Here is a 22259-nt window from a genome sequence, read left to right on the forward strand (position 1 = left end):
CCCTGTGTCCCGGAGTTAGCTAAGTCCAGTGGAAGAATCAAGGACTTTGCAGACGTGAGAGTTGTGTCTCTACAGTGCCCTTAGATAAACAGAATGATAATAAATTATGCCAGTATGTTTCGGGCTTGGAGACGCTCTCTGACTTGCCCAAGGCCACCCAGCTGCTTAGTAACTGAGGAGGCCTCCTGACTCCTGGTCTAGGGATTTTTCTGATTGCGTCATAGCCATGAGAGTGGTCCAATTTTGAATGGGGATGGATAGATGGATGGATGGATGGATAGACAGACAGACAGATATTGATATTTTTAAAAATATGCTTATTTGAATGTAGTTTTAAAATACCATTCCTGCCATGAAAACTACAGGGAAAAACATCTCCCACAGCCCCAGTTCCCTATGACAGCCACTCAGACAGGATTTTGAAAAAGAAAACTGACAGAAAATTGGATGCTTGTTGGGGAAGATATGATCAAAGGAGAATAGAGGGGGTAGGAGTGGGGGAACAAAGATGGAGGAGAAGAAGCTCTCAGCACGGATTCTGAGAACTTCCTTATTCTGAAGGTTTCTTTGATATGGCCTCTGTTCAGATGGCTTCCGGGAGTGTCCCCATCAGTCCTTTATTTCTTATGCCCACTCTGTAGAAGCCACAGATGTGGTCTGGAGAGGCAGATATTGATGACCCTTCTTTTAATTAAGTCTCATTTCCCTTTTTCCCTCTCTTGTAGTGAGTACATCGAAGAAGGGAATTTTGTATGTGTGTGAGTGTGTGTGTGTGTGTGTGTGAGAGAGAGAGAGAGAGGGAAAATGCTTATGTAAGAGAGTGTAAGGGTGTGTGTGTACATGGATGTCTGTGAGTGGGAATATGTGTGTGTGTGTGTGTCTGAAAGGGAGCAGGTCTCAAAGAGGGAAGCTTTGAGAGAGGCAAGGGAGATAAGAAGAATGAATCCGAATTTACAGAGTGCAAACTAAAAACTTATAGCTGACTAGGGATCTGTCCAGTGCTGGTGGGCCTGGGGAAATAGTCAATTCTTAATATTCCTTAAAAGAACAAAGGAAAGGAAACATATTTAAATTAGTGCAAGAAAGATGATGTTAAACCCATGGGCCTTTCTTGATAGTCTTCAGACACTTGACATTTATGTGACCTTCGACTAGGCTGTGAGATCCCAGGGCAGGAACAAGGGCTTTCTACTCCAGGTAGCTCTCCCCTTCCCTCCACCATCTCTAGCATGGGTGGCTTCCATACTGTGCCAAGGAAGCCAAAGTTCAGGATTAAATCCATTTTGTAGGCCAGTTAGCTTTTATCTACATTTCATAGACTAGACTAATCCCCACATATCACACAGTTAGCTGCCTTGCATCTCTGATCATGAAAGACCCAGTGAAAATACAGTTCATCTTATCCCATCTAGAAGTGTGCTTCCTGCTGACAGTGGGTGAGTACCCATTTTCATCTTCAAAGGATGATACAGAGGCATTCTTCAGCAGGGGACACTATCTGCCTCATTCCAGATAGTAGCACTTCTGCTAAGTCTTCCTCTCAAGTTTGGCTCCCAGGTATTTTGGAGGGCAATTCCTCACCTTGCTTGTTTGCTTGCTTGGCATAGAAATGTACCCTTTGGAGAACACTTTCATTCTACCCTTTTATTTTATCTTCACAGCCACACTTAATAGGTACCATGATTCTTGTTTTGTAAGGTCATGGATCTGAGGCTCAGAAAAGCAAGATAATTTGCTCTCTGTCACATAGTTAGTGAGTGTGTAAACTTACATGGAGTGAAGCTGGGATTTGAAGCTAAGTTCCAGTCTATATCACAGGACCTTGCCAGGATACCATGCTGTCAGGTTGGGGGTGGGCTGGGGTAAGAAATATGGTGAGATGCCTACACAGGGCTTTTGGTGTCTTTCTCCTCTGTCAACTCCTCTCCTCTACCTTTCATAATAGTCTTTTTTTTCCAAAAACATATATATACTCTTCCTGTAAATATATATATACACACACACATATATAAACACACACACACGCATATATATGTGTGTATATATATGTGTGTGTGTGTGTGTGTGTGTGTGTGTCCATGTATCTATCTTTCTTTCTATCTTCATTTCCCACGGAATGGCACAGAGCAATGTATAAAAATAATACCTCAAAAATCCAACCACATCCTTAGGAAAGAAGGTAGTCTTGGTTTAGACTTTCCCAGTTCCAGGCAGCAGATGTTGGTGGTGAATACCAAGAACTGCTATGGTTTGGTGGAAAGGGCAAGGCTTGAGTTGGGGATAGGAAGGGAGAGCTGGTTCCCAGATCATATTCCTCCATGGCATTTTTGTGCAACTTTAGATAAGTCACAGCCTCTCCAAAGTCTTAGTTTGTTGCTATTGTAAAATGGGGAGGAAATATCCAACCTACCTCTTTCCCAGGGGTTATTGTAAGAATAAAGTGGCATGATTCATTTATTCATGAATCACGAATAGCTGTTTTAATTACAAGACTCTCAAGAGCTTATAATCCTGTGATTCACTCGACAAACACTTATTGAACATCTATTGTGTGCTAGGGTCTGGAGATAATGGGCATATGGAAAGCTTTTAAGAAAATGAAAAGCAGGAGACAAATTAGGCATTAAAAACTTTTACCTCCTATTGATAGAACATTTTATTTTTAACTTCTTCCACCACAATTTAATAGAAGCAGCAACCAAAAGGGGAAAAAATGATATGCATGACACAGCTTGTGATGCCAACACTATTATGCACCCTGATACATATTGCAGATAATAGTGAGAATATCTGTATCTTCGTGTACTTGATGTCACATTGCCTTGTTTACACTATCCTTTGGGATGTTTATAGCATAAAAATTGCCTTTCACCATCCTGAGCCTGAGTTGTTTCTTTAGTCAATAAAATTTAAAAACAGGATTCCATGGAATGACGACTGTACTTATTTTACAAAGATGCTGTAATATGTGGTGGCTGCCTGCCGTCAGATATGACCTACCCTGGCTTATGGAATCAGGCTTTGATTATGTGTATTCTTTTGATTTCTTTATTTAGCAATGCAGAATCTTGCAGCTAGTGAAAGCAAGTATGGGTGCGTCAATGGCAAGAGCCCTGAGACTGAAGAGAACTGGGTTCTTGTCCAAGCTCTGTTGTCAAATTGCTGTGTGGTCTTGGGAAAACCCCTGTCTCTCTGTGAGCCTCAGTTTTCTGACCTGTATAATGGAGGTTTGGGACCAGGTGATGGCTAAGGTCCTATTTCTGAAACATTCTAATATTATAATGTTTCTGAAACTTTCTTATTTTTTTGAAGCCAGGGCTTTTCTCCATATATTTTAACAGTAATATTACCTCTAGTTTATGACCTTCTGCTATAACATGATGGGCTGACTCAATGTATTGATGAACACTATCCCCAGATTTAATTATCTTGGAGCGTCATCACCACATTGTATAAAATGAGCCATATTGTTCATTGCATCAGCAGCCTTTGCTGAAATGGAGGTTATGGGATAACAACTTTAAGGCTAACTCATTAATGCTCTGGGATGAATAAGCTAATGTGTCAGCAGACCAAACTGGTGCCCAAATGTTTTCGTATAGAGACCCATATCTCTTTCCCATGTTGTGATACATTAATGGGGATGTCTTTATCCATTGCCGCTGCCTGTAGTCATTTGAATAATGTAGATGCAGTACCTTCTGGGCACCCAGCCCCATTCACTATCAATTTCCTAAACTTTGAGGCACTCTCAGAGGCTTGGACCAAAATTCTAGTGATGCCATAGAGTACCTAATTTATAAGGATTTAAACCATGGCATCAGTGCAGTCCCTGCTTTTTTTTTTCCATAGGTGTTTACTAGTAAGCACTGCACCATTCTTAACTATTTTATGGGGGTAATGGAGTAAATTAGTCCTCCAAATCATGAAGGCTGTAGATTTATGCCTAGTTGAAACCATTTCAGTCCTCACAATGTTGAAGTGGGTAACCTTTCTGACGTTAATTTGTTTCTCCATCTGTGTGCCATGCATTTTGGGAGGACGTGAGAAACAGGCTTGATGCCATTCAAGTGTGTTTCCCCTTTTTGTATTGATGGAAACTTGATTTGTGCCTGTCCGCTCTTTGTTCAAATTCTCTCTCTTGATATCTGCTCATATTCTAGCCCCTTTACTTATCCAAATAAAATCATATATATATATATATATATATATATATATATATATATATATTGCTAGTGACAATGTAGAATTGGATGGCTTGAAAGAGAAACAAATTTTGAGACATACAGGCACTTTATTAATCTGAATAATAACATTTGAAATATTAACCTATGCAGTTAGTTTTTCTAAATTTTATAAAATGTTTTTTTTAAATACTTGACTCTGCTGAAATTGGAGAATGAAGAAGAAAGATATATCCCTTAAAATCTCCTAAGATCTCTTTACATAATTCAAATTTAGTGGAGAAGAGTAGATTGTTCAATGGATTGATACAAATTCTAATTTTATGTAATTACTTTTGAAACATGATTTTTTTTGTAAACTCCAGCCCTCTGCAAAGAACCTTCACTATTAACATGTTTATTAAAAACCAATGCTAAATACCACACATAATATTATTCATTCAACTCTCAGACAACCACTGAAATGGATACTGTGTCATTTCACCATTTTATAGAGAAGGCCACTGAGACTCAGAGAATTCAACTGACTTTCTTAAGATCACACAGCTAAGAAATCTAGAGGCTGGCTTTGAACTCAGTTATATTTGGCTCTAACACTAGTAAAAGTATTTGTCTAAAGATAGTGTTTCTGCAAATGTTTTGAATTCTAGACTGAAACTGAGCTGGTTTGCTTTCATCTTGCTTTTGAATCTCATGGTCTCTTCAGGCTAGTGCCATGGTATACTGAAGGGGTAAGGGGAAAACACTTTGGAGCAAGAGAGGTCTCTTGGCACCTCTTTCCTGTAGGGAGCCTCCTTTTGTGTTCAGCTTGAAATGTCAGGCCTGAAGTATTCAAATCTCAAGATCCTGTTATGTGCCTCTCTCATAGTGCGAAAGCCTGCCTACTCATTCCCCCTCCCCACCCCACCCATCTGCTTCTTGTCTGGGGACATTGGTCTTCCTAAATCTGCTTCTGTATTGTATGCTACTGGCACCTTGAGAAGGTTGAAAGCAAGTAAGGCAATGCCAATTTTTCTGTTAGAACTGCAGCATATAACTGCTCTTAAGTTTAGCCCTGTGTGCTGGAGCAGGGAGGCAATGACAAACGGTTTATTCTAAGGCCTTTGATTTCCTTCGGAATTGTAAGCATCTAGGCTGACTCATCTCTCAAAGGCTTTTCTCTCTCTCTCCTTTTGGGGCTGTTGTTGATTGGGGATTTTACTGTTTGTTCTTACCTTATATTTGGGGGAGAGAAGGGACTGATTTTCATCTTATTTTTGGGTGAAAAAACCAGCTCTGCTCTTTGGATGATCAGATCTGGTAAGCTTCGATAAGAAGAAATAGCTGAAACTCCAAAACAGGTACAAAAGATATCTGGATTGGGGAAAGGGGAGAGGGGAGTAATGTTAGAGAAATTAAGCCAGAGCTAGGCTGTGTGTCTCAGGATGAGACCCTAGACTAATAGGCTCTGGACCTGCTATTTTGAATGGGGAATTGCTAGAGGCTTAGTCTGGAACTGTGGTTAAATGCATGTGCCTTTGGTTAAAATGGTCACTTTGCAAGTTGCAGTTTGGTGGTTGGGGTTAGGTGTTCACTTTGGGTCCAGGGGATGGAGCTTTGCAGTTGAAGGTTTAATATCTATGCTAGGTGTTTTCCTCTTGGTTTAGTTCAAAAGCCACAGGAAAACTCCTCATCTTTTCTCTTACTGCACCTATTTCTGACATCTGTGATCCTGGCTACTAAGGGAAGTAGGCAAAAGAGTTTTGGAGACAAAATTCAAGTATGGTTTATTTGTTTGTTTGTTTTTTGTTTTTTGTTTTTTGTTTTTTTTTTTTTGGACAGAAGGTAGCTCATCTATTTAGATTATTGCATGATAAACCGTTACTTAACTTTTCTCTGCCAAAGCTGCATTGCCTGATCTTTGAAATTTAAGCTCCCCACCCCCCAAATCATATATAGAATGTTATTGTAGATTCCATGGGAAAGAGACATTCAGTAAAGTTGTATGTAACTACTTCCTTTCTTGGCAAAAGGTTTAGTTCCCCATCTCCTGAATTATCTTCTCTATCAGGAACCAGCCATATTTACCCAAACCATGAACTTGGGAGCTATCCTAAATTGTTTTCTTTCCATTGCAATTAAAGATGTTCCCTAAGCCCTGTCAGTTCCATCCATGAGATTCGTCCCCTACTCCAGCCCTAGTGACACTGACTTGTGTCAATATCCCTTGCCTCTTGGCTCATCTACCTACTTCCAGCTCTCTACCCAAAACAGGCTTTTTCATGGCTTTCTGTGATTTTTCCAAGGTGCAACCCTGAATCTTTCACTCCCTGCCTAAAGCCCTATTGCCTTCAGGAAAAAGTCCGACTCTTTAAGCTGGCTTATAGGGCCATCCATGATCTCATCCCTGCCCATCCAGATTTTTCTCCTTCCAATCCCTTTATACAGCTTCAAGAATATGACAACCTCTCTCCCATCTCTTTTCCTTTGCACAAGCTGTTCTCTCTGGATGCTCCCCTCCTCTGTCTCCAGGCAGATTTAGCTGTTTTCTCCTTTCTGCTCTCACAATACTTTGTTTATATCTTGGAGGTCTAACATCACAAGGTTTTGTAAATTGTTGCTAACTTGTGTATCTCCTTCACTGCACTGTTAAATCTTTAAAAAAAAAAAAAAAGAAATAGTATTACCTTGCTCATCCTTTCAATCTTTAGCGCCTGGCACAAAGTGGGCAATTAATACAGGTTTTTGTTTTAATGAATGAATGAATGAGTGAACAAATGAGTAATAGAGAATGTGCGGGAAAGGATGCTGTGTGAGGTGTAGGGGCATACCCCATTGGGGATGCTTTGTAGTCTGGAAGTAGTATAAGATAGTGGGCATCATGGAGAAGGCACATATAAAATAGGTTTTACCATTACACTAAGACAAACTCCACTTTGATACCAATTCTGTTTAAGGAGTCTCACTAGAAATGGTCTGGAAATGATGTTTGTTGGTTTTGGTACAAATGATTTTTTTATGAAAAAGTAATATAATGAAGTTGTACAATGTTTGGTAAATAGAGAAAAGCAACAGGCAAACAAAATCTCACCAGTTAATGCAAATGCTGTTAGCATTTGGGTGCATTTCCTTCAGTCTTTTATTTTTATGCATGTTTTTCTTCACATAGTTGCAATCAAAATTAATACAATTCTGTGTTTTGTATTTGTTGTTAAAAAACTCTTTGTAAATATAACTTTAATGATTGCATAATTTTTCCATACTGTGGCCATTACAAAATTTATATAACTAATATCATTGCTGGGCTAGCTTTTTTTCCCTTTTTTTGTTACTATTATGGTTTATGTGGATATGCTTTTCCCTGTCTGTAGGAAGATTTTATTAGGATAGATTCCTAGAAGGGGAGTTACTAGGTCAAAGGGCCTGGGGACGATTTTTGGCTCTAGACCCATGTGTCCATTTTGTTTTCTGGACTTGTCTGAATTTGCAGCTCTCCTAACCTAGATGAAAGTCCCCTTTTTATCCAACCTGGACAGCATCGAGTATCGTCATGGAAAGAAAAAAAAAAACCTCTAAAAACGCTCTAATTAATTAACTAATTAATTAATGGAAAATACTATCTTATTTTTGTTTCAAAGTGCTTTTGTTAAAAAATGTTTTTCTCTTTTATTTTTTCTTCTTATTTTCTCTCTTTGTACTTTTTTTTTCTAATTAGGTTTTCTTTTTCCTGGACTATCTGTTAAGGGCTGAATTTTTGAAGTTGGATTTTTTTTTTCTTTTTTAGCAAAAACAACCAGAGGCTGCTCTGCTTGAGGGTGAAGCCGCCTCCCAGTTTTCCCTCCCCCTCTACCCCCACCCCCATAGTTCTCTCCACCAGGTCCAGTGACAATTGGATGATGCAGCCTTGATAATCATCCGATTCCAGAATGGGTGGCTGCATTCCTTTTCTGAAGGCAGCAAGGGCACTGTGCCCCAGAATCATGCCCCCTTTGCTGTTGTTGTCCGCCTTCATTTTTTTAGTGAGTGTCTTGGGAGGAGCCCCAGGACACAACCCCGACCGCAGGACGAAGATGGTATCGATACACAGCCTCTCTGAGCTGGAGCGTCTGAAGCTGCAAGAGACTGCTTACCACGAACTCGTGGCCAGACATTTCCTCTCCGAATTCAAACCTGACAGAGGTAAGCTGTACCCCGGATTGTGGCATCCTCGCCTTCGGGAGAGTGGACCCTCCGGGCAGGACGGGGCGGATTAGGGGTCTGGCAGGGTGGGAGGGGCTCACGCCTGATCTCGGACTTGATCAGTTCTCCTGGCGTCTGGGGAACTGAAGAAGCCGGAGTTGAAGGCTGTTTGTTGAATTGCGGAAGAGGTAAAAATTAGTTGAGTTTGGTCGAAGGCTGGGAGTTGAGGGGGCAGTAAGACAGACGGGCAGATGTCAGGGACAGACAAGTGGACAGAGGGCCGGTGAAGAGACAGCCGCAGCAGGTGCGGTGCGAGAATAGGGCAGAGCGAGACGGAAGCGCAGAGGGACACTCTGGAGAGAACTGGGAGAGATAGAGACAGCGCGGTCGAGAGACAGAGAGTAGAGGGAGATAGCAAGACAGTGCGTGAGAGAGAGACGCTCCTAGCCGGGCGGTGAACGGGAGGGCGGTGCGGGCGCGGGGGCGGCGGCAGGAGGTGCGCCTCTAGCACTGCCCACCTCAGCTGGCTGCCGGGGAGCGAGCAGGACGCGGCGCAGGACGAGGTTCGAGTGCACCAGGGAATCTCAGGGGTAAGCGCGCGGATTTGGCAGCGGAGCCCAGGCGGTTAGCGCGGACCCAGGCGCGCCCCAGAGGTATTGGAAAGTGCTGGGGGTGGCAGCTTCGCTAGGCGCGCACCGCGAACGCAGCTTGAATTGAGCGAAGCAAAGGGCGAGGAGCCCCCGCTGGCAGCCACTGATGCCAGATTCGGAGTGCGGGGACAGCCAGGTGTCGCCGCTTCTCCTACCGCAGCGCAGGGAGCCGACGGCAACCTGGTGCGAGCGCGCCCGCAGTAACTTGGCGACCCTCACCCGCGGTGGCGCTGCAGGAGAGCCCCTCCCTCCCCTCTCCTGTTGCGTGATCTGGGGGCTTCAGAGCCCCGGAATTTATGTTTTAAGTGTTGTATTGAGCGACTACGGGTGCGTAGCAAGATGCGCGGTGCGCACGCGGCGCATTAGATTGTCTGGTTTGGTTAAATTCTTGGAGTCTGATAAGAGTGAGATAGGCTTGTCCTTGTTGTTAGGTGGGGAAACTGAGGCTCATAGAAAGCAAATTACTTTTCGCCCGCTGGGCAGAGCTCGCCTCTCTGCCGCTCCCTCCCCCTGCTGCAGATCAGGGCATTGGGATGTTTTAGTCACTTATTAAGTCCTATTTGTAAGTGTATCTTTTCTTTTTTCTCTTTCTGTAGCTCTGCCTATTGACCGTCCGAACACCTTGGATAAGTGGTTTCTGATTTTGAGAGGACAGCAGAGGGGTGAGGGGGCTCTTGTATTTTCTTTAGAAAAGAAATAGAATGCTAACCCCCTGTGTAGTGTGGCCCTGGCTATTGGAGACTGGGTGGCGTCCACTGTCCCAGGGGACACTCTCCTCAGCTCCCAAACCCCACAGTGGGTGATATCAGGAAATGGCGCAGTAGCTGTAGGTGCTTGGGGCGGTCCTCTCAGACCTTCCTGGTGGACTCACCCCACACAGATCAACCCGAAGAAATCGCCCTCTTTGTTTCAAGGTAGTCACCCCCAGGGAAAATTTAAGGCAGGGACCTCGAGCCTCGTCGGGGTGGTTGAGTGGAGCTGAGTCCTTTCGCCAAACCACTGCGGGGTCTTTTTGGCTAGCTCCCCAGGGAGGGGCGCTGCGGTTCTGGAGAGGTGGGGTTGGCTGCGGGTGGTTGCTGGGAGGAGTGCTACAGCCCCTGCTTCCTCCTGATTTAAGCGCTGCGAGGCTTTGACGTTTCTCATTCTTTCTCTCGTGGCTCCCCAGCTGTATCACACAAGACATTTGGCATTAGCCTGGAAGAGGTCCTGGTGAACGAGTTTACCCGCCGCAAGCATCTTGAACTGACAGCCACGATGCAGGTTGAAGAAGCCACCGGTCAGGCTGCGGGCCGTCGTCGGGGAAACGTGGTGCGAAGGGTGTTTGGCCGCATCCGGCGCTTTTTCAGTCGCAGGCGGAATGAGCCCACCTTGCCCCGGGAGTTCACTCGCCGTGGGCGTCGAGTGAGTTAAACCCTCCAGGTTTCAGGCAGGGGCCTCTCCTGAGGTATGCAGGAATGTGAGGCCGGAGGATCAAGGCCTGTGCCCTCAGAGGCAGGGGGGAGCTGAACACAATATGTTGAAGTGGTGTCCTTGGCTTGCCACAAAGGGAATGTATCTTGTCCTGAATGTCATACATACAGTACTCAGGAAGGTCCTAATTGACTCTCTTTATTTCCCATTTTAAGATAATCTGGATTTCTCCACAGGGTGCAGTGTCTGTGGATAGTCTGGCTGAGCTGGAAGACGGAGCCCTGCTGCTGCAGACCCTGCAGCTTTCAAAAATTTCCTTTCCAATTGGCCAACGACTTCTGGGATCCAAAAGGAAGATGAGTCTCAATCCGATTGCGAAACAAATCCCCCAGGTTGTTGAGGCTTGCTGCCAATTCATTGAAAAACATGGTAAGGGAGCTGCAAATGGGTAAATCAAGGAAGGAAGCAAAGGGAAAGGAGGGATGTTCTGGAAATGGGGGGAGAAAAGAGGCCGAGGATGAAGGGCTTGGATAACATTCCCCTGACACCCAGTGGAGGTCGCGATGCAGTAGGGGGTGAGGGGAGAAGAGAAATGCCATGGGAAAGGGATTCAGAGATGCTTAGCATCCCCTGGTCTTTTCTTTCAGGCTTAAGCGCAGTGGGGATTTTTACCCTTGAATACTCCGTGCAGCGAGTGCGTCAGGTAAATTGGCTATGTTTACATGTTTGTTCCTCCAATAAGAAAGAGCAGGAGGAGGTGGGGTTTCCCCATAGACCTGACTACCTGGTGGGGGGAGGAGCAGGGTCTTCTTTGTAGCCCCCAGGCCCACCATATTGCCAGCTACCTCCACTGAATACTGGAACCTGTTGAAGGAATGACCAAGATGGAGCTGTGGTGGGCCAGGCAGACAGTCCCTGTCTTCTCCTTTTCCTAGCTCCGTGAAGAATTTGATCAAGGTCTGGATGTAGTGCTGGATGACAATCAGAATGTGCATGATGTGGCTGCACTCCTCAAGGAGTTTTTCCGTGACATGAAGGATTCTCTGCTGCCAGATGATCTGTACATGTCATTCCTCCTGACAGCAAGTGAGTCTTCTGACCTCCCTAGTAGGGCAAGGAAAGGAAATATTACTGGGGTCTAGGGGGTTCTAGGGACAGAGCTCAGGCTGGAGGACTTTGAAGAACTAAGGCAAAATGACCATAAGAAGATTTTAAAAACCTCTCCAGAATATATACAATTATTATTTGTCAATTAAAAATAAAATTTTAATAAAAAACTTATTTGGGTTACTTTCTTTGTATTTCTAAATGTTCCATTATAAGTCTGTTGCTTGGAAATTTCTCTAGAGCTTCTTGAAGATGTGTGTGCCCTCTCAGGTCAAAAAAAAAAAAAACCACCCAGGTTCTGTAGAGGAGGTCTGGTTTTTATGGGGGCACTTCTTGCTTTCAGAGTTCCTGAGCTCAAATGCTTTGGAAATGAGCAAAGGCAAGATGCCTGGGTACTTTCTCCATAACTGCCAGCAAGTTTCAAGCAGAATCTCACCTCCCTTGGTATCAGTCTGCAGCCAAGACTATCCCCCTGAGACAGCCCCTGTTTTCCTTCTTCTAGCTTTAAAGCCCCAGGATCAGCTTTCTGCCCTGCAGTTGCTGGTCTACCTGATGCCACCCTGCCACAGTGATACCCTGGAGCGTCTGCTGAAGGCCCTGCATAAAATCACTGAGAACTGCGAGGACTCAATTGGCATTGATGGACAGTTGGTAAAAAGATCTTGGAAAGAGTAGTGAAAACTGTAGTAGGGGACATATGTGGGAGTATATCAGCAAGAGGGTGGATGGAGAGGAGAGAGAGAAACAAGAATAAAAAGAGACATATTCATTTGTACAACTCCCAGTACTACCTCAGCGTCAATCACTTTCTGCTTTCCTTTGCCTAGGTCCCAGGCAACCGTATGACTTCCACTAACTTGGCCTTGGTGTTTGGATCTGCTCTCCTGAAAAAAGGAAAGTTTGGCAAGAGAGAGTCCAGGAAAACAAAGCTGGGGATTGATCACTATGTTGCTTCTGTCAATGTGGTCCGTGCCATGATTGATAACTGGGATGTCCTCTTCCAGGTAGGTGCAAGTTTTGGATGCACTTGTTTTACACATCCATCTCCTGTTCACAAGGCAAGGCACAGTTGTACCTGCATCTTTGAGGGTAGCCAAAACAGGCAGCCACAAGATCGTCCAGTCTAGAAATTCCTCCCACATTAGCTGGCCCTGGTACCTTTAGTCCTAGGTACCTGAAAGAGATGAGTATAAATGAAAAGGTGCTGTGTAATGATGGCTAATGTTGCTAATTCTACCCTCAGGTGCCTCCCCATATTCAGAGGCAGGTTGCTAAGCGCGTGTGGAAGTCCAGCCCGGAAGCACTTGATTTTATCAGACGCAGGAACTTGAGGAAGATCCAGTGAGTGTTTTTTGGGTTTGTTTATGCTTAGCCTGAAGTACCTCCTCCTATGGGGTTTTCCAACTCCAGACTATCTTTATATTAAGTAACGCAAGTACACAAACTGACTTTTTCAAAATCCTTCCCATTCAGGAGTGCACGCATAAAGATGGAAGAGGATGCACTACTTTCTGATCCAGTGGAAACCTCTGCTGAAGCCCGGGCTGCTGTCCTTGCTCAAAGCAAGCCTTCTGATGAAGGTCAGTTCCCTGCTGGAGGTCAGGCCCTTGCTGAAGGTCAGTCCCTTGTTGAAGGTCAGGCCCTTTTTGAAGGCCAGGTCGTTGCTGAAGATGAGCCCCTTGAGGAAGATGAGTCCTCTGAGGAAGATGAAGAGCTAGTATTTGAATATCTTAATCAAGGAGTAGTCTTTGGGGAAGCTCAAGGTCTAGAAATCCCAAATAACTTTGAGATTCAGGGCCCACATCTTGAAGGAATACCAGAGCTTGATGAGGAAGATGATGATGATGATAATGATACTTTAAATTTTGATGATCTTCCTCCCCTTGGAGATATTCTAGAACCAGATAATGAAATTCCAGAACTCATTGAGATCCCAGACTTTGAAGAAATTCCATATTTTGATATGGTCCCAGACCTTGAAGGAGCCCCAGATGTGCAAGAAATCCTGAACCCTGGAGAAAACTCAAACCATGACCTAGAAGAAGGAGCAGATTTTGAAGACCACCAAAATCTTAACCTTGCAGAAGCTCCCTATCTTGATGTAATCCCAAACAATGAAATCCCAGACCACGCAGATGCTTCAGATAATGATGAAATCCAAGATTCTGAAGAAGATCCCAGTCTTGAAGATGTCCCAGCTGTTGATGAAGTTCCAAATGATGAAGCCTCAAATACTGAAGAAATCCCAGACTATGAAGCCCCAGAGGTAAATGGGATTTCAGACTCTGAGGAAGACCTTGATTTTGAAGAAGTCTCAGCTCTTTATGTGGTTCCAAGCCCTGAAGAAGCCCCTGGTGGACATGAAATCCCAAATCATGAAGAATCTCCAGAGGTTAGTGGACTCTCAGACCCTGAAGAAGATCCCAGTCTTGAAGAGGTCTCAGATTTTGATGGAATCCCAAAATGATGAGGAAGCCTCAGACACTGAAGAAATTCCAGACCATGAAGAAGCTCCAGAGACCAATGGAATTGCAGGCCCTGAAGAGGTCCCAGCTCTCCATGTAGTCACAGGCCCTGAAAATGTCTCTGATTTTGATGAAATGCAAGACCATGAAGAATCCTCAGATGTGAGTGGAGTCCCAAACACCGAAGAAGCCTCAGATATTGAAGAAATTCCGGGACGTGAAGAAGCCTCTGATGTTAGTGGAAACCAAGACTCTGAAGAAAGCCCTAGTCTTGAAGAAGATTCAGTTCTCTATGTGGCTCCAAAACCTAAGGATGCCCAGATTTACAACAAAGTTCAAGATTATCAGAAAGACCAAGCCAGTGCATTTGAAGAAGAAGAAGTTACCACTATGGCTCCAGAAACTGATGATGTCTCCATTCTCAATACAATTCCAGACCCTCCACAAGACCTGGCTGTCAATCTTGAAGAAGTCATGGATGTGGAAGAAGTCCCAATGCCTAAAGATTTAAACTCTAAAGAGGTTCAGAATCCAAAGGCAATTCAGTTTCATAAAGATGCAGATGTTGCATTCCCTGTAGATACCACTCTCCTTAAAAACAAGTCTCAGCCTGGCCAAGTCATGGACTACAAGTCCTCACCAGAGGTGTTGAAGGGCAACACCTGCTTTCTGTCTTCCATGCAGTGCTGTAAGCTTTCAGCTCTAGCTTTGTTACTCATTTGCTTGGTAAAATTAGTCAGGTTACTTGTAGGGTGGTGGTGGTTATTAGGAGGTCGCCCTCTTACCTGTCTCCCTGGTGGTATTGTCCATTCCCTCTGAGCGCAGGGTATCTGTCTTACTCTTTCTCTTTCCTAACTCAGCTCTTTTCCCAGTTCCCACAGTGGTCCTAGATTCAGAGATCTGTGTTCTGCTGTCAGGCTGTAGTATTCTTATATGTCAAATGGGGATAATCATCCCTGTCCTACCTTCTTGCCTCATACTGTATTTGAAACTCAAAATTAGGTCTTAGTGCCTTGGGTGCTGCGCAAAGTATAAAGTCTAGAAACATAAGGAGTTAACATTGTTACTATTTTTCAGGTTCCTCTGAGGAGCCAGCTGTGCCTTCCGGCACTGCCCGTTCCCATGACGATGAGGAAGGAGCGGGTAACCCTCCCATTCCGGAGCAAGACCGCCCATTGCTCCGTGTGCCCCGGGAGAAGGAGGCCAAAACTGGCGTCAGCTACTTCTTTCCTTAGATGTTTTTCCTTCTATAAGGTGCCAGACAGGGGAAAAGGGTGGGGGTACATCTGGGATGTCACAGGAAACATTAAGGAGAGAGTTGAAGGTAAAGATCTGAAGGTAAGAAGGAGTTCCACCTGATGCTCGGGTCAGGATGAGAATTCCAAACACACTGCCAGCCCCTTCACTGGGGATGCTTGGTCTCTTCTGCTGGTAAAAGCAGAGATGTTTCTGTGTCATGCCCAAGCTCCCCGGTGCTACCTTGCCTTTCTCTTTTACCCCTGATCTTGGCTTTCTCTCTCTCTCTGCAGACTTTCCTTTAATTGATGTGACATTTGTGGTAAACACCTTTCCCAGGGAACCTCACAAATCTTGAGATGCTTTCCCTTCCCCAGATGGGATTGCATGATTTCCCTGACTTTCCTACCCTCCTCCAGAGAGCTCAGTTGGAAAGGCCCTCAAGAGGCATGCTAGAACGTTAGGTCAGCCTACTGACAGCTGACAAACAATTAATGCGAAATCATGTCACACCAACCCATAGCCGTGTCCACGCAGCAACTCCACCACCTTAGGATTTCCCCCTCCAAATTATTCAGACCAATGGCTTGCCAAATGGCCTCTCCCAAAATTCTGTACAGTTTTGCTCAGGTCACGCCAACAGGGAAACCTCAAGTGTAGGTCTAATTAGTGTTTCTGGGATCCAAAGTTAGAGGAAAATTTAGATTTTATTGCCTGGATCTGCTTTAAAGACAATTGGTGTTTACACCCTCTTGTCAGCAAAACAGCTAGTTAGGTAAGGACATATAGTTCCAAGTAGGTAAAGTCACTTGATTACAAATGTTCTTAACTATCGTCTCTGTAATTCCTTTATACAGGACAGTACAAAATTGTGGGACATGCTCTGGTAACACACAGATATGGGTTGCATATGATCCAGAATTACAGCTGATATTATGGATGACAACTGCTAAGGTCCATAAAATGAAGACTGTATTGTATTGAGGGATAGAAATTGATCATTTAATGGGTAACAACTGCTGAGCTCAAAGATTTGTGATTGTTAAAACTTCTCTGGCATTTAATCATTAATAAACATCTGTATTGTGACAGCAGCATATTCATGGCTTACTGTGTTTTTCTTCTTTTTAATTTGGGGGGTGAGTTGGGAAGCTCTGACTAGAGAGCTGAAGGGGTAAAGGAGAGGTGAATAGAAATAAACAGGACAGGGTGATGTAGAATAAAGAAGAAGATGACATGGGATAAAGGGAAGGGGGTGACAAGGAATGAGGGGGTGGAGTGATGTGGAATAAAGGGGAGGGAGTGAAGTGGGAAAAAGGGGATAGAGTGATGTGGGGTAAAGGGGAGGGAATAGAGTTGAATAAATGAGAGGGGGAGACATGGAATAGAGAGGGAATGACATGGGATAAAGGGAAGGGGGGTGACATGAAATGAGGGGGTGGAGTGAGGTGGAATAAAGGGGAGGGGATGATATGGAATAAAGGGGAGGGGCTGATGTGGAATAAATGGGGGGTGAGGTGGAATAAAGGGAAGTAAAATAGAATAAAGGGGAAGGGCTATAATGGAATAAAGGGGGTGGAAGTATTACTATTAAAGTAGAAAAGGTTAAGGGGAGATGAAAGAGAAGTAGAGGAAGCAAAGGAAGCTTAAGAGGAGAGCCTATAAGGGGGAAGGGAGGGGAATAAATGAGGAGACCACTAGGTATTTTCAACTGAGAAGTTCCCCCGAATCAGTGAAAAATAAAATCCTAAAAACATAGGCAGACATATGACTTCCAAGGGTCAGAGGAAGAACATACTGCTGTCTGACTGATAAAACTTCCAACCTTTCTTGAAAACTTATGGCTTCATGACATACTTGAAAATTTTCCATGTTAGATACAGGGCCTTAGAAAGTGGAATGGTTTGTGTTATTTATTTTTACACACTTTGCTTTAGGGTATTTCCTTGCATAGAGCTTTACAGACTGCAGACTCGTAGCATTGTCCCCTCCTACACTAATAAATTTTGTAAATAATAATAATCCTGATAGTTAACACATATCAAGGTCTTCCAAAGTGTCTGACACTGTTAAAAACTTTACGTTCATCATTTAATTTAATATTCACAATAACACTTTGAGATATATGCTACTGTCATCTTCAATTTACTCTTGAAGAAAATGAGGTACAGAGAGGTTAAATAACCTGCCCAAATTACACAGTTGGTTAGTGGAAAACCAGCCAGTCTCTAAAGCTGGCTTGTTTAAACACTAGATTATACTGGTCCATTCATCTTGGGATTTTGCCTCAGACACAAAGATGCACTGTGATGTCTGCAGCAATTTTTTTATATTGGGGTTTGGACTTTCAACAAGCAAGTTTCAGGTTTCTTCCTTATAGGTCCTTTCTCTCCAGAAAGGACAGGCTATTAGACAATAACTGATATTTCAGGCAGATTCTAGCAGTTATAGCTGGGGCTTACAGATATCAGAGGCAGAAGAAAATGTAGGAGCTCACCCATTCCAACCTTCTTGTTATGTGAATAGTCATACTAGGGCTCAGACTTGGGAAAGGTCAGAAATCCGGGAGTAAGATTCGGACAGACCTTCTGACTGCATTTCCAGGACTTTATGGGGTCAAAAAAGTAAAATATGTCCTGTGAAAAGTTTATGTGTGCTTTCACCATTCAGCTTCAAAACAAACCAGATAACAAAGAAGAAAGTAGATTTGAAAACATTGCCTTCACTCTCTGGCCTTCCCTGAAACCAGGTTTTCTCCTAATCTTACATTTCTTCCCAGTGCCAATTCCTAACCAGCCTCAGGGACTGGGCCTGAGAGTGTTTGTAGATGTGGGCATTATCCTTGCTGTTCTCCACACTGTAAGGACCCAGCTCACAGGCTTCCTGACACTCCAAGTCCTGTCCTTATTCTGGGTGCCACCAACAATGTACACATGGAAGTCTTACCCCATATACCCTGGCCTCACACCTCTCTGACCTTTAACTTCTTAGTACCTCAACCACTCCCAGTCACTTGGCATCACTGGGCGTGGCTTCAACTCCAATATCCCACTGAGGCCCAAATCTTCTAACGAAGGCTGGGTCCATGCCATTTGCTCTTTGGCTTCCCTGAGGGATCCAGTACCCAAGACCTTCCTTTTGTCTTCACTATTTTCCCTGTCCAGACAAAATTTGGGGCATATTGATTTAGTATTAACTGCCTTATCATCCCCTTGCCCTCCAAATACCACATCTGCACTATTTATCTCCAATTTTCGGTCTTTCCAAACAAATGTTTTCTCTGATTCCATAATAACCACTGTGGGAGAAAGGAGCAGCACCCCAAGAATTTCCAACCTCAGCTGGCCCTTCTGGCCACCTTGCAATCCTTTCACACACCCTAGGTCATCTCTTTCTCCAATTTTCATCCTATCTGTACTCCAAGATTTTCATCACTCCTCTCAAACAACAGCCCCTTTCACTCTACCCTCACCACACCCCATACAATGGCTCAGACTCCTACTTCATAAAGGAGATTGAGGTTAACTTCAGCTCCTTGACCCTACACCTACAATGGTCTTTTTGGCTTCACTAACTCTCACTTCATATTGCATAGCACTACTTCTTATTATATAGCACTCCTTCAGCTTAGAAGTTCCTATTCTAGTTTCTTTTCCCTTGCTCTGTCTCTCCTCTGCTTTCCTTCTCCATTACCCCCACCCCTAAAACCTTGCTTACACTATTATCTCAGTTCTCTTGCCTGATTTTTAAATCTCTCCTTGTCTACTAGTTCACTTACTTCAGGATATTCTCATGATCAAGTGTCTCTCATCCTTAGAAACAATTCCTTGATCCGTCATCACCCTGTAACAATTGCTATACTGCTCTTTTTGTCAAACTCATTGAAAGAAGAGTCTGTTCTATTCTGTATCTTCCTTCTTTTTTTTTTTTTTTTTGAGACAGAGTCTCATTTGTGTCACCCAGGCTGGAGTGCAGTGGCATGATTGTGACTCAATGCAACCCCTGTCTCCTGGGCTCATGCCATCCTCATGCCTCAACCTCCCAAGTAGCTTGGGCTACAGGCGCATGCTTCCACACCCTACTAATTTTTTTTTGTATTTTTTGTAGAGATGGGGTTTTGCCATGTTGACCAGGCTGGTCTTGAACTCCTGAGCTCAAGTGACTCACCTACCTCAGCCTCCCAAAGTGCTGGGATTACAGGCGTGAGCCACCACGCCTGGTCTCTATCTTCCTTCTCACCTCCCATGTATTCTTCAGTCCATACCAATCAGGCTTCTATTCCCACTACTCTAATAAAATGGTGGCAAAAGTCACCACCAATAACCTATTATTACATTCAGTAAACATTGGTAATACACTTATTTTCCTCAGTCTCAGTGACACCACCACACCATCATCTCTTGATGTTTTACTTATATTTTTTAAATTAAACATTTTTATTTGAGATAATTGTAGGTTCACATGCAGTTTTAAGAAACAATACAGCAAGGTCCTGAATATCCTCTACCCAGTTTCTCCAGTTGTACTATCTTGTAAATCTACAGTACAATATGACAACTAAGACACTGACATTGATACAGTCCAGATACAGCAATGTTCCATCACCATGAGAATTCCTCCTGTTGCTCTTTTATAGCAAAATAGACAAATCTACCTTTCATCCCCACCACCCCCTTTCCTAACCCTTGGTAACTAATCTGTTATCCATTTCTGTAATTTTGTCGTGTCAAGAATGTTATATAAATGGAATCATACATATGTGAGCTTTTGGGAGTGGCTTTTTTTTTTCACTCAACATGATTACTTTGAGATTCATCCAGGTTGTGTGTAGCAGTACTTCATCTCTTTTTATTGCTGAGTAGTATTTCATGGTATAGATGTACCATAGTTTGTTTAACCACTCACCTACTGAAGGACATTTTGGTTGTTTCTCCAGTTTGGGGCGATTATAAATAAGACTACCATGAACATTCGTGTACAGAATTTGAGTGGACATATGTTTTCAGTTTTCTGGATGAATGCCCAGCTGTGCAATTACTGGGTCGTACACAATTGCATGTTTAGTTTTATAAGAAACTTACAAACCACTTTCCAGAGTAGTTATACAACTTTATATTCACACCAGCAATGTATCTGCATGCTTGCTAGCATTTGGTCTTGTCACTATTTCTTTTTATCTTGCCCATCATGATAGTTGTGTAGCGATATCTCATTGTGGTTTAAATTTGTATTTCTCTGATGCTTAATGACATTGAACATCTTTTTATGTGTTTATTTGCCATCTGTATAGTCTTCAGTGAAATGTCTGTTCATGTGGATATCTAATTGCTCTGGCACCAATTGTGGAAAAGACTATTTGTTCCCCATTGAATTGCTTTTGTGCCACTGCTTGCATGATTTCTGGTGATAAGTCCACTGTAATTCTTATCCTTCTTCCTTTATAGGCAAAGTATTTTCCCCTCTGACTTCTTTCGTGACTTTCTCATTACCTTTGGTTTTCTGCAGCTTGAATATGATATGCTTAAGTATGACTTTTGGCAATTTATATGGTGTCACCTGAACTTCCGGGATGTGTGGCTTGATGTCTATCGTCGATTTTAGAAATTGATGTACCGTTATTATTTCAAATCTTTCTTCTGTTTCTCTCTCCTCTTTCTGGTAATCTATTTACACATGTTACATCATGTGAAAATGTCTCATAGTTCTTGGATGCTCTTTTCTTTTTTCATTCTTTTTTTTCTTTTTATTTTAGTTAAGAAGTTTCTATTGACCTATCTTTAAGATTACTCATTCTTTCCCTGGCCGTGCCCAATGTACTGATGAGCCCATTAAAAGCAGCTTTCATTTCTGCTAGTGTTTTTTCATTTTTGGCATTTAAAAATTCTTACTTAGAATCCCCATCTCTCTCCTTACATGATTATTCTGTTCTTGCATGTTGTCTACTTTTTTTGATTAAAGCCCTTAACATATTAACCATAGTTATTTTAAATTCCTGTCTGATAATCCCAACATTTGTATCAGTCTTGTTCTAATGCTTGCATTGTCTATTCAGACTATGATTTTTCATGCCTTTTGGTGTGCCTTGTAATTTTTGTTGAAAGCTGAACATATTGTATCTGATGTCAGGAATTAAGGTAAGTAAACCTCTAGTCTGAGGATTCATGTTAATCTGGCAAGAATTGGGCTTTGTTTAATCTTTTCTGTAACTATTGGTGCCTCAGGCTTAAACTTTTCTATGTTCTTGTTTTTGTCTCCCCAATTAACATTGTGCTTTCCTAAGTACTCCTCTGAGAGAGAGTCTGTGTCTTGCAGCTCTTTCAATTGTAACTCACTATTATTATACTGTAGCCCTGTTGGTATGGTGTTAAGGTGTGGATCGGGGGATATTTTATAATCTTCTGATTACATCTCTCTTTTAATGGGTCTGTGTCTTTGGGATGTGACTTTTACAAGTGTTTCTTTAATGATAGAGCTTTTCCCCTCCTGCCTCCTGTTCCATTCTTTGCCTGCAGTGTTTCCAATCTATTTCTTCAAAAGTCTGACCCTTGTTTACGATTTTTCCCTCAGGTGAGACAGGAAGGCTGGAAGATGCGGGAGGGCAGATGAATTCTCTTCTCTCAGCTAGGATAAAGTTTCAGAATTATGTTGGAGAGTTAGCATTTGTTATGGAGAGGGCTCTAGATGTATTTCAGAAAGGTTACTCTTCTATTATCTCACCAGTGCCATAAGGAGACTTTTCTTGGATCCTGTATCCTCATTGTAAGAACCTGATGGGGTTCCTAGAAGGGAAAGTAGATTAAAAAATGTGAGGATCCTCCTAAGACTGTGGATCCTATGAGTTTCTGACTCTCATACTAGTCCACACTCAGCCTTTTAGCAATTTTTCAGAACTACCGTTTAAATGTTTTTACCATCTTATGGTTCCAGTAGCTTCTGCTTTAGTTAAGCAGATTTCAGTTGCTGTAGATTTTTGAACGTGCCTTTCTCTCCAGATTTAGGGATGATAATTTGCCCTGTGACCTCAGTTATCTGATGGGTCAAGAAAAGTT

General features: G+C 43.1%; 1 protein-coding gene across 4 annotated transcripts in view, besides 1 other annotated feature; it reads left to right on the forward strand.

Annotated features, from left to right (window-relative positions):
• Positions 1 to 16309, forward strand: part of ARHGAP36 (Rho GTPase activating protein 36) — a 31540-nt gene extending 15231 nt beyond the window's left edge. The window contains exons 2-12 of one of the 4 annotated variants that reach the window (NM_144967.4): positions 7948 to 8342; positions 9589 to 9654; positions 10158 to 10393; positions 10639 to 10831; positions 11050 to 11105; positions 11338 to 11488; positions 12012 to 12160; positions 12337 to 12513; positions 12753 to 12850; positions 12983 to 13089; positions 15052 to 16309. In NM_144967.4, the coding sequence (NP_659404.2) occupies positions 8090 to 8342; positions 9589 to 9654; positions 10158 to 10393; positions 10639 to 10831; positions 11050 to 11105; positions 11338 to 11488; positions 12012 to 12160; positions 12337 to 12513; positions 12753 to 12850; positions 12983 to 13089; positions 15052 to 15209 (1644 nt within the window). In that variant the 5' untranslated portion in view covers positions 7948 to 8089 and the 3' untranslated portion in view covers positions 15210 to 16309. Of the gene's footprint in view, positions 1 to 7947; positions 8343 to 8858; positions 8996 to 9588; positions 9655 to 10157; positions 10394 to 10638; positions 10832 to 11049; positions 11106 to 11337; positions 11489 to 12011; positions 12161 to 12336; positions 12514 to 12752; positions 12851 to 12982; positions 13090 to 15051 lie in introns of those variants that run through there. The other 3 variants (NM_001282607.2, NM_001330651.1, XM_011531280.2) reach the window with 3 other exon arrangements.
• Positions 10799 to 11998: an enhancer, noted in NCBI's record as "MED14-independent group 3 enhancer chrX:130218349-130219548 (GRCh37/hg19 assembly coordinates)". NCBI's record gives its function as "activates an origin of replication core promoter dependent on BRD2, BRD4, P300/CBP and CDK7 cofactors, and independent of MED14, by STARR-seq in HCT116 cells {active_cell/tissue: HCT116}" and the evidence as "EXISTENCE:reporter gene assay evidence [ECO:0000049][PMID:35650434]".
• Positions 16310 to 22259: the final 5950 nt, after the last annotated feature.

Source organism: Homo sapiens, chromosome X, assembly GCF_000001405.40.
Source record: "Homo sapiens chromosome X, GRCh38.p14 Primary Assembly".
Taxonomy (NCBI): domain Eukaryota; kingdom Metazoa; phylum Chordata; class Mammalia; order Primates; family Hominidae; genus Homo; species Homo sapiens.